Source organism: Homo sapiens, chromosome 6 (assembly GCF_000001405.40).
Source record: "Homo sapiens chromosome 6, GRCh38.p14 Primary Assembly".
NCBI classification, from domain to species: Eukaryota; Metazoa; Chordata; class Mammalia; order Primates; family Hominidae; genus Homo; species Homo sapiens.
Genome location: NC_000006.12, coordinates 166,071,213 through 166,083,778, shown reverse-complemented (window position 1 = coordinate 166,083,778; position 12,566 = coordinate 166,071,213). Strand labels below are relative to the sequence as shown.

Sequence of the window (12,566 nt, the reverse complement as noted above, 5' to 3'; positions counted from 1 at the left end):
TAGGTTGGTTCCATATCTTGGCTGTTGTGAATAGTGCTGTAATAAACATGAGGGTGCAGATATCTCTTCAATATACTGATTTTCTTTCCTTTGGGTAAATGCCCAGTAGTGGGATTGCTAGATCATAAGGTTGTTTTATTTGTAGTTTGTTGAGAAACCTCCATACTGTTCTCCATAGGGGTTGCACTGGTTTACATTTTCATCAACAGTGTATGAGAGTTTTCTTTTCTTCGCATTCTTGCCAGCATTTTTTGTTTTTTGTCTTTTTGATAACAGCCATTCTAACTGGGGTGAGATGATATCTCATTGTGGTTTTGATTTGCATTTCCCTGATGATTACTGATGTTGAACATTTTAAAATACATTTGTTGGCTATCTGTATGTCTTCTTTTGAGAAATGTTTGTTCAGCTCATTTGCCCACTTTTAAATTGAATTAATTGTTTTATTAATGTTGAGATGCTTGAGCTCCTTGTATATTCTGGATATTATCCCCCTGTTGGATGTGTAATTTCCAGATATTTTCTCCCATACTGTAGGCTGTGTTTTCAGTCTGTTGATTGCAGGATACAAAATGAATATACAAAAATCAGAAGCATTGCTATACATGAACAATAAGCTAGCTGAAAAAGAAATCAAGCATGGGTGTGGTGGCTCATGCCTGTAATCCCAGCACTTTGGGAGGCCAAGGTGGGTGGATCATGAGGTCAGGAGATCGAGACCATCCTGACCAACATGGTGAAAGCCTGTTTCTACTAAAAATACAAAAAAATTAGCCAGGCGTGGTGGTGGCCACCTGTAGTCCCAGTTACTCAGGAGGCTGAGGTAGGAGAATTGCTTGAACACAGGAGGTGGAGGTTGCAGTGAGCCGAGATCATACCACTGCACTCCAGCGAGACTCTGTCTCAAAACAAACAAACAAACAAAAAATCAATAAGGCAATCGTAATTTAAAATAGCTATAAAAAATAAAATCCCTAGGAACAAATTAACCAAGGAGGTGAAAATGACCTCTACAAGGAAAACTACAAAACACTGATGAAAGAAATTCAAAAGGATACAAATGGAAAGACATCCCATGCTCTTGAATTGGAGGCATTAATATTATTAAAAAGACAATACTACCCAAAGCAATCTACAGAGTTAGTGCAATCCTTATCAGAATAACAATGGCATACTTCACAGAAATAGAAAAAAAAAATCTAAAATTTGAATGGAACCACAAAAAAAAGCCTGAAGAGCCAAAGCAATCCTAACCAAAATGAGCAAAGCTGGAAGCATCACACTACCTGACTTCAAAATATACTACAAAGCTGTAGAAACCAAAATAGCATGGTACTGGCCTAAAAACAGACACACAGACCAATGGAACAGAATAAAGAACCCAGAAGTTAATCCATGTATCTATAGCCAACTGATTTTTGACAAAGGTGCCAAGAATACTCATTGAGGAAAGGACAGTCTTTTCATTAAATGCCAGGTAAACCTGCATACCCACACGCAGGAGAATGAAACTAGACCCCCACCTCTCACCCTGTACAAAAACTAACTCAAAACGGATCAAAGGCCTAAAGGTAAGACCTGAAACTAAAACCACTGGAAGAATACCCAGGTAAAGTGCTTCAGAAAATTGGACTGGGAAAATATTTTATGAATAAGATGTCAAAAGCACTGTCAACAAAAGCAAAAATAAGCAAATGGGATGATATGAAACTATAAAGCTTCTGCACAGCAAAGGAAACTCATGTGCTTTTTGTGTGTGTGTGTGTGTCTGTGTGTGTGTGTGTGTGACAGAGTCTCCCTCTATCCCCCAGGCTGGAGTGCAGTGGCGTGATCTCGGCTCACTGCAACCTCCACCTCCTGGGTTCAAGTGATTCTCATGCCTCAGCCTCCAGAGTAGCTGGGATTACAGGCAACTACCACTATGCCTAGCAAATTTTTGTATTTTTAGTAGAGATGAGGTTTTGCCATGTTGGCTAGGCTGGTCTTGAACTCCTGACCTCAGGTGATCCACCTGCCTCGGCCTCCCAAAGTGCTGGGATTACAAGCATGAGCCACGGCACCCGGCGGAAATTCATGCACTTTTGTAAGGATACAAGCAGCAGGACTCTTTGCCATGGTAGCGCTCTGAAAATTTGAAATCCTTATATTAATCTTTACTATTTTAGAGATTAACTTATACAGAATTTAAAAATATAATTCAAGTGGGTAATGTAACTACTTGGTGAAGAATTCTAAGCCTAAGGAGCTTGTTTGGTATATTTGCCATGGCTTCGTTTTTAGTTGGTGCCTTAAAATCTGCACTGTCCATTACTCTAAACAAGTGTGTAAGTTTCAGCAATCCATTACTCTAAACAAGTGTATAAGTTTCAGCGCAGTATGGGCATTGACTTATTGGGCTGTTTAAAAACTAACAATCCACACTGCAAACTCCACTTATGACAATGTGGCATGAAGGAAACTTTTGATGTCTTCCAAGATAATTGAAGCGTGGAGTTCACGTAGTATGTGTGTTTCAGGACTCCAGACTATCTCCAGGTAGAAGAGCTAGCCAAAAGTTAATTTTTCTTCCTTTCATGTCTTCAGATTTTTTTTCTATATTTTCCTCTTGTTTTGCTATTTAAATGTCTTGATCCTTTTAGGTCAGAGATATTAGTCGTGTGACACTTTCCTCCCCAAATTTAGAGGGCTGCATTTTAAATGCATTGTCAGGATTCCAAACTGTAAAATAGTATTAAAGAAAAGGTCTGTCCTTCTAAAATATTCATGTTTCTTAAAATTGATAAGACCATATGGTTGAGTAATATTAATTTGTTTATGAATTCAAAATATATTGACTCCTACCACATGCTGGGAGCTGTTCTGGGGGATGTTGGCATAGGATGAATATGCAGTCTGCTTATAACGACTAATACTCTAGTGGGAGACTGATTTGCAAATGAGGCGTTGGCTGTGGACAGTGTTGCACTGGGGTGTGCAAGAAGCATCTTGGACACTACTGAGCCGTGGTCACTTCTACTGGCAGCTGACTCGCTGCTCAGGGAGAGAAAGGATGTGGTAGCTCCACGCATGCGTGCCACATGTGATGTGTTTTACTCCATGTGAGGCACTTGAAACTTCAAGACCTAATTTGAGTCTCCACAGTCTTGACAATTAGATGATATTTTCATCTGTTTTTATAGATATGGGCCAAGATGATAGTGATGTCATACAAGTCACTTAGCCAGTCAATGTGAAGTCAGTATTCAAGTCCTGGCCTAAAATGCCAAGGTCAAAATTCTTCTTCCTAATTTTTATTTTTGATGTTTATTTTTTCTGTTATAGAAGTAAAAGTGTTCATTTAAAAATTCAGAAAAATATGAGGAAGGAAAAAAGATACAAATTTCTACCAAATAGTCTTTTCTTACAGAATTTTAATGTGTCTATATTTTATGTTCATAACTTTTTAATTCTGGTGCCCATGTGGGCCACTTGCATTTATAGAAGTACAATCTAGTAACCAAAAATAATTTGAAAGGAAAGGAAATCCAGCATCTAATAGCTTTTCTTGAAATACTCTAAAAGAGATCAAATTCGTAGCCTGTGGCCACACTGATCCCTCCCACAACGCTTTGGAGTCTGATTTGTTAAATGCGGTTATGGTGCACATGCTGGGTCCCCTAAAGGTGCGTTAAACATTCAAACCGTGTATTTGTGCATGGCCTAGGGCAGCCTCAAAGCTTCTGTATTCATCCATTTTCTCCTCTTTGAGAGGAGCCTAATGATGCCTAATGAGATAATGTATGAATCATGCTCGACAGTGGGGACTCAATACATGTTGTTCTATTCCTGGTTTCCTTTCACTCCTCTCAAAATGTTTCATGTCAAAAAATACTTACTGTATAATACATTGACAAAAAAAAATGTAGGTCACAGCCCCTCAGGAACATTCTAGTTAGGGAGAAAATTACACACATTACACACAAGAGAGTCGAACAGCAAACTTTAAATGTCTCTGATCATGAAAGGAGGGTCAGGGTCATCCCTCGATTCATATAAGGTCCAGACATCATCCTCTCCATTGAAGCAATTCACTGAACTCTCAGGCTCCAATGGGGTGGTTGTATGGTGAAAAAGTCCAAGCACCTGCACTTGCAATTGAAGGTTGTACTGGTTTCAAAAGTATCCCTCAAAAATTCATGTTCACCATGACCCTTAGAATGAGACCTTATTTGAAATAGGGTTTTTGAGGTATAATCGGTCAAGATATGGTGAGGTCATACTGGATTAAGGTGGGTCCTGATCCAGTGACTGGTGTCCTTGTAAGAAGAGGGAGATGAGACACAGACACACAGAGGGGCACCCCAGGCAAAGACACAGAAACATACCGGGAGAGCACATTTGGCAGTGGGGGCAGAGGTTGGAGAGATGCAGTCACACACCAAGAATCACCAAGGATTTCCAGCAACACCAGAAGCTGGAAGAGGCAGGAAGTATCCTCCCCTGGAGCCTTCAGAGAGCATGACCCTGCGGACACCTTGATTTTGAACTTCCGGCCTCTATTCAGGTTGTGGTACTTTGTTACAGTGGCTCTAGAAACAGCTACAGAGGTGTTGTTCTCTGCCACAGCTCCAACCATGCCTCCAGCACTGCTACCCTGTCCTTCACAAGGCTACATTGTCCTGGAGCATGGACACTTCCAGGTACCTCCAGGCCTTGTTCATGGTGCTTTTTATACCTAGACGGAACTTCTCTTCCCATACTGTCTTCCGCCCACACTTCTAGATTTTGATTTATTTAGGGGCTCTACACAAAACCCAGGAGAAGGAATTAAGAGCAATTTTTTCAAAAGCGAGACTCTCATTTTTGGTGGATGTATGTCTTTTGTTCGGGATGTTTTGTACAGTTGTTGGAAGCACTTTTTGATCCTGTTAGCCATAAATAGCCATGATGTTCTTTAGCGTTTAACCAATTGAGAGGTAATAGCCTATATAATCCTTTGATTTATTTAGTCAGTCAGGAAGAATGGTGCTCCATGTGAGATGTTTTATTGCTTTGTATGGACTTTGGGGGAGGGGGAGTCTTAGAAGGTGTTTGAATGCATGGGTTTTAAATGTTTCCCAAGTGTGCAGCTATTGTAGTAACGTAATGCTATTTGGCAAACTAGCCCGTAACTCAGTGCTGAAAGCAATAACCATTGGTCACCTACTGTTCTGTGGTATGGATGGGGCTCAGCTGGACAGTTCTGTTCACTTCACTTGGTGTTACTCATGTGGCTGCAAGATGACTTCACTCACATATTTGGTGCTTCTGTTGGAATGGCTGTCATTGCTGACAGCTGGCCAAATATTTTTTCTCCACGTGGTCTCTCCAGCAGCCTAGACACTCCTCTTTACATGGTGTCAGACTTCAGTTGCTTCTTAGTGAGCAACTAAAGAGGGTTTAGGAATGCACTCATCCACACTGTTGTTTTCTTGGCTGGTCATGAATTCTCTGCACTGCTCATTTGTTGGTCTGGTAGGAAGGCCCAGTGCAAGCAACCTTGTACCAAATCTCCATTTTAGCTGGTCTTGGAACCCAAAATGGGCTTTGTGAGTTTGTCTAGTTTACTAAGCTAAAATCACCTTGGCCGCTCTCTGTGTTGTAATCAATCCAGAATTACTTTCTGAGGAAAACTTTGAATCTGTCTTTGGATACTGCCTCTGAACTCCTTCCTGGGAAAGAGAAATGCCTTGGGTTGAATTAATTTGACCCCAAATAGAATTTAATTTACTAAAATGTGTTTTGGTTATTGTACCTGAAATTGACAGTAAAGGGCACCATTTTCCATACAAGCTTTTCTTACAGTGCTAATGTTGTTATGTACCTTGTTTACTATGCGACAGGGAATCATCTCTATGTTCTGGAGAAATATATGTCAGGGCTTAGTTAAATTAATCTGTGCTTCTCTGGAACAACTAGTGTTTTTTAAAAAAAAAACTTTTTTTTTTTTTGCATTGCCAATTGGGTAATAGATTGTTTTTCCTCTTTTCTTCGGCTGGTTGCAAGTACAGTGCCCAGTTTCCAAGTGTTCAGAAATATATGATATATATCTTGAGTACCGGCTGCACTCTAACTTTTATCTTACGTTTTCTCTCCTATTGTCTGATGTCCTTACATTCCTATTAGTCATTTCCAATGATATGTGTATCTTTTCTTTGTCCTTTTGTTCTTATAACTTCTTGTATAATTTCTTAGACATGGTAAATGCTTTATTATACATGTTCATTGCCTATTAACTGCTTAATGTCTTCAACTGTCCTAGGGTATGCTTTAAAAGTCACTTTTGTGCCAGAGATGTTCTCCTCTTGCTTGGCTACCTAGAAATGGTTAATTGCTTTTCAAATAACAGTTCAAAGATGGTGGATAACCTTTGTGAAGTTTTTGTAACTCTAAGAAAGAGACAGGTACTTCTTCTCCTGTGCTCCCTGTTTTCATTCCTCACCTCTCAGCCTAAATGCTTGACTCATAATTATTGCATAACAAATATTGTAGTGATGGCAGTGGCGGCCTGTCTCGAGCAGCGGTAGCTGGTCTCGAGCAGCTGCTGCCATCACACTGGCGGCAGCAGAGAGGCATGGCCAGGGCTGCACACTCTGTAGAGCTGGCAGGAGCCACAGACAAGTGGGAGCCCCACCCCCTCCAAGTTGGTGGGGCAGGAGCTCCCTGGGTGCAGCGGCAGCCACCCAAATCCTGGCTGCAGACTCCGGCCTCTGGCTCCACAGAGCCAGCTCCATGCCTCCTCAGCCCCCTTGGCATTTAGGGTGCCAATGAGCATAGGAGAGAAGCTGAGGGTATGCGGAGGGCAGCTTGGCACTGGCCTAGAGGCGCCCCTTGGCACCTACAGCCTGGGTGCCATGAAAGGCAGCAAGAGGCAGACAAGTTCTTGGGTAGAAAGGGGCAGGTCCCTGGTGAAGCGCCACCTTCAGGCCAGGGAGAGACTGAAGACTGGGGGCTGGGCTGCTGGTCCTGCAGACTGGAGTGTGAACTTGCACTGCTTTTTCCGCACTGCCCATGGCTATCCATGGACCAATCAGCAAGCACTTCCACCCCTCTGAGGTCCATAAAAGCTCTGGGCTCAGGCCACAACTGAGCAGACATGGGAATGACCAGCTGCAGAGAGGAGCTACCCTCTCCAGGGTTTCCTCTGAGCTATTCTGTCACTCAATAAAGCTCTTCTTCACCTTGCTCACCTTCCACTTGTCTGCATACGTAGTTCTTCCTGGATGCAGGGCAAGAACTTGGGACCAGCTGAATGGCAGGGCTGAAAGAGCTATAACACAAACAGGGCTGAAACACACCCCTTGCTCGCCATGTTGTGGGTGAAGAAAAAGAGAGAAGAGCTGTGGCCCTTCAGGGACCCCAGACTTGGGAGCTCCTTAAACCAGGGCTGTGACTCCCTCTTTGGGGCCCGGTTGTTCCTGGAGTCTCCAGGCTTCTGGGCACCACTGCATTCCCTAGTGGCACCTGTGGAAGCTGCTTGTGGTGCACCTAGTCCAGCTGCAGCCTTGCAAAGAGCTGGCACCTATGCCAGCACCTGGAGCTGCCCACTCTGCTGCAGCAGACAGAGTGCCTGACTGTGCGCCGTGGACAGACCCCATGCTTTCTTGCTCACACACCCCTCACTGCTCCATGCCTGGCTTGCCCTTGGCAGGTGTGGGACCCAGGCTGGTAGTGTGAGCTGAGCACAGCCTGCCAGGCCGAGTGGGTGGGATGAGCCCAGTGGGCCTCAGCAAAACTCAGGCAAAGGTGCCACCAGCCACAGAGGTTTCCGGTGAAAAAAGCAACACCCCAAGCATCCCAAAACAGTAGGATGACCGACTGAGTGATCATAGTTTTTGGTGAATGTAGTTTATACATGATCTATTTCTCGCATAACTAAGAAGTGTGAGTGTTCTTTTTCCACTACTAATGGCAGCTGTTGGCTTCTTGTCTATCACTCTGCCACATCTTGTAGCAGCTCCACCTAGACTATCCCAGGGAAATTCCATACTACGTCCATATCTATGTTGACACAGAAAAAGTCGGGTCTTCTGCCTAACCAAAAATGCAACTGTGGTGGTATGTTATTTGCTTTGCACACCACTGAAACTGTGAGCCAAATGACCAAAAAAGCCTTTAAAATGTGTCTATTATCATTGGGATTTATAAGAAAGTTTTATAAACAGCCTCTGGGTTTCTGGTTCAGTAAATTGTTCTTGGCTGTGTGGATGCTTTCCGTGCAATAAATTACTCAACAGCCAAGAGTTTCCCAAGAGCTTCAATAGTTAATTCCGATCCCTTCACATGTGCAAATGCTGAAATTGTAGAATGTGTAATATTTGTTAAGCTACTTATTTCCATATGGTACTGAAATATATAATACCCAGGTTAAATTCTGTAAGCTGAGACCATTTGTATGCCTGCCACATTCAGCATTTTCTTGTGTTCTCATAAAGAGTTGGTTCTCAAATATTAGAGGAGAAGAAATCCAGGAAATTGGAGATGTTTACAAAATTTGGAAATACATGTGATTCTGGTTATTTCAGCTACAGATGTTTTGCTTAGAAAAATTTGTGAGAAAAAGTGCTTGGTGACTGAAATTTTTAGCTTTCACAAACTTATGTATTTATGATTTTAATAAATATCCTCAGTTTGACAGTACTTCATAGTACCATATAGATGCATTTAGAAATTGCTTAAGAATGCATATCTGAGATCGCTTTCTAGGTAAAGAAGAAAAAACAAAGAAATGGCTTATTTTTAAAATAATGGTATTGTTGAGATTTTTAGTTTGTGTCAAAATCCTAAAAAATTTGTAGATATGAAGCACTTCTAGAAAACTACATAAAGTAGGCATGTAGATAGCCACTATTTTATAGCGAAAAAATGTGGAAAAATTACAGAAGAGTTTTATTTTTACGTCTTGGTAGAAAGAGAACCAGGCAAGCATTTGGGGACATGAGGTTAGCCTGAGCTGTGCCCTCCCAGACCCCTTCCTTCCAGAGGCAGCCATGCTCTCTGAGTTCATTTTTAATTCAGGAAATTGATTGGACATTTGTTCAGCTTTGGCACTGATACCAATGGTTCTTGCTTAACAAAGAAAGGTGCAAGAAGAGACTGAAGTCCTCTACCAGTCCTCAGGCATCTTTACCACAGTGAACCCCAGCACTCAAGCCCATAAATTCTGGATCACTTAGCCCATGTCCAGAGCAGTTTCAGGACCCAAGGGGAATGACGCCTCTTAGCCCCAGATAGTGGCTTTTGCTCATGTTACATGTCAGTTTGATAAACAAGTTAGCTCCTGAATGAAAGGAAGCTGCACTTGTTCTGGGGTTTAAAAATGTCACCAGGCTTAACAGATATTTCTCAATTTCTAGAAAAAGATACAGAAGAAGATGAAAACCTAAAGTAACAATTTGGGAAACTCTTGGTCAGATTCCTTTCTGGAGACTTGTTTATGAACCCCTTAATTGATAGCTTTGTTTTCCTCTCTTCGGAAATAAAATGAAATTAAAAAACTATATCCATACGTCTCACTATGCTTTCTGTGATAACTCACCCACGACCCAGTGTTTCTGCTGGAGAACACCAGGGCCTCCTGGCACCTCAGACGCCGTGGGACTCGTGAGTGGAAATCGCCCCAGCCACCGCTTCTGCCTCAGGAGAGGCCATTTCCTGCCTCGGAAGCCCGATGGTCTCCCGGGTGTCAGCTGAGCACCTGGAAGAACGGCTCCTCCACCTGTCCCTGGTTAGCCAAAGGCATCATAGCCTGCATGGAAGGTGGAAAACAGAGCAGGAAAGAGGCGAGTATTGAATGAATATGGCCTCACATCCCTCCGTGGGGGTCCCAGAAAGGCATGCAAGGGACTCTCACAAGCCCAGCCCCCCCTCTGTGACAAGTGTGAGGGCACCGGCCCAGATGACAGCTGGCAGGTGACCTATACTTAGTGTCGGTGAGAAATCTTTAATAACTGCCAAGTAGATGGAAGCCAATTAAGAAGAAGCCTTACTTCGGCCGGGCGCGGTGCCTCAAGCCTGTAATCCCAGCTCTTTGGGAGGCCGAGGCGGGTGGTTCACGACGTCAGGAGATCGAGACCATCCTGGCTAACATGATGAAACCCTGTCTCTACTAAAAATACCAAAAAATTAGCCGGGCGTGGTGGCGGGCGCCTGTAGTCCCAGCTACACGGGAGGCTGAGGCAGGAGAATGGCGTGAACCCGGGAGGCGGAGCTTGCAGTGAGTCGAGATCGCGCCACTGTACTCCAGCCTGGGCGGCAGAGCGAGACTCCGCCTCAAAAAAAAAAAAAAAAAAAAAAAAAAAAAAGAAACAAAGAAAGAAAGAAAGATGCCACTTGAAAAGGAATGAAGATGCTGGGTTCTGTCACCACTTCTGCTCCTGATGACCCATCCCTCCAGTCGGCGGTGAAGACAGCACGCGGAGCGTGTGTTCTCAGGGTGCCCCTGGTGCAGCCTTCCAGGACTGCGTGAGTGGGAGCAGCAGGGCTGACCAGGTGAGGTGGGAAGAAGCCAGGCGTTGGCTCTGCACAGTCACCTGCCTGCTGGGTATGCACAGGGAAGGTGATTTCGCTGGCAACAGGATTCAGGAGTGTGTGCGTGCATGTGTGTGTGTGTGTGTGTGTGTGTGGCTGAAGGGTAAAGTGTAGACATATCTAAAAATGATGTACTCCAAGATTCAACAGAAATATTTTAAAAGTTTTGTATTGTATATAGGAGAAGACAAATCCCATTTGAGTCAAGAGCAAGAAAGTTTTTGGAAAGAACAAATTCAGTTAAAAAGAAAGACAATGAGGTAAAAATAAAATATCAGATTTTACAATCTGCAATGAACTCCCAAGAAAGGGTTACAGCAGTTGAAAGCACAATCACATTCTTGCAATGCGTGATAGAAGCAGTGAGGAGACTGACACGGTGGGGCAGCTAGTAGGGACTGCGGAGGACGCCCTTGGAAAGCTCGTGGAAATCCGGGGGAAGTGGAAAGAAAGACGAGAGGTTAGTTAATAAACATGGGCATAGAGAGAGAAGAACCAATTTAATGAAGAAAACAAGATCAAATGAATTTGAAGTAATCTTAAGAAGAGTTTCCTGAATGGAAAAGAAGTTGAATATGCATTGAGAGGGCTCACTCACGAAGACAGAACAAGAGGAAACAAACTGGAGTGTGGTGATGCCTTTGGCACTCCTCTCAAACTCTGGGAGACAGAGATAAACTAACTGATTGAGGGTCTAAATACTGTGACAAATAAGGATGATGATGTAGATACGCACATATACAGTGGAGATTTGTACCCTCAAAGTGACTACATCCATGGAAATATTTCAGCATTCAAGAAACAGATGTTTTTAGCATCTGATACACTAGAAAGAAAAGTGCAATAAATATACAAACGCATTGGAAAGCACACAAGAACCACCGCCCTGTTTTCTGCATCCCCTGCTGCAGACCGTGTGCACTACTGCAAGTCGAGGGAGTCTGGCAGTGAAGGAGCTCCTGGGGAGAGTCCCGTGATGAGTGGGGTGGAAACTAAGCCAAAGGAGGGAGGTAGGATGGAAAACCATGATCCTGTTTACTTAAAGGCGGTGGGCAAGATGGTTTTATGGTGTGATTGACTATAAAGAGAATGTGCCACAAAAGAAATCAATGAGCCTGAAGAAGAATCAATTACGTTAGATCAAATTCCAGTAGGATCAAAGCAGCAAATCCAAGAAACAGCACATGTGGAAACAGAGAATGCAGATAAGATTACTATATTCCATGCTAGTCAAAGGTGTCTAGTAAAAACCCAAAGCACCACAACACAAGCAAATGAACAACTTGCTATTTTTTTCAGAGCTGGGTGTGCATGGAGAGTAGTATATCCACTGCTGGGACAGCATGAGTTGGTTGCACCATCTTCTGACTATTTTTTCCCTAGTCTTTGATTATCCCCCAACACCTATCCCATTCCTCTATTAAACATAAAGTAACAGGTGTGCATGTGTTCAGGTATAACATTTTCTTTCATCTTCTAAGTTGTCAACTGTATGTTTTGATCAACATCAAATAAAAAGGAGCTGAGAAGAAAAATTGTTTCTTAGAAAATACAATTTTTTCTTCATAGTGACATGCTTACTCAGATTTTTATGTTGATATTTCAGGAAGTTATTTTGATCTGAATGTTTAACAGTAAACAAAGCAAACAAAAATAAAAACCTTGCATTTTTTATTGTATAATTTTAATATTTTGCTTTTATCATTTTTATTTGTGCCTGTCATTTGTAGGGCCTTCTCTGTCTTTCAATAGGAGTGAATGGTTCTAACAAAACTGATCCTAGGTAAATTCTCCTTCAACTCCAGCACATTGTTTAAGAAGTGTCTTTTGAAAAACTGTATAGGCCATACACTCTTTAAAAAATCAAGGTTGTGAAAGATAAAGAAAGACCAAGGAGATGTTTCCAATTAATGGAGGCTGAAGAAACAAGACAGCCAAGCACAGCATGAGATCCTGGTCTGCAGCCTGGACTGGAAGCCTGCCTGTTGTTAGTTTCCCTATAGAGAGAGTTAGTGGAA

At 42.7% G+C, this 12,566-nt stretch overlaps 2 annotated features.

The window, feature by feature from the left end:
* Window positions 7,182-7,682: an enhancer, noted in NCBI's record as "H3K4me1 hESC enhancer chr6:166489585-166490085 (GRCh37/hg19 assembly coordinates)". NCBI's record gives its function as "activates a minimal SCP1, AML or CMV promoter by ChIP-STARR-seq in naive H9 embryonic stem cells {active_cell/tissue: H9 hESC(naive)}" and the evidence as "EXISTENCE:reporter gene assay evidence [ECO:0000049][PMID:30033119]".
* Window positions 7,683-8,183: an enhancer, noted in NCBI's record as "H3K4me1 hESC enhancer chr6:166489084-166489584 (GRCh37/hg19 assembly coordinates)". NCBI's record gives its function as "activates a minimal SCP1, AML or CMV promoter by ChIP-STARR-seq in naive H9 embryonic stem cells {active_cell/tissue: H9 hESC(naive)}" and the evidence as "EXISTENCE:reporter gene assay evidence [ECO:0000049][PMID:30033119]".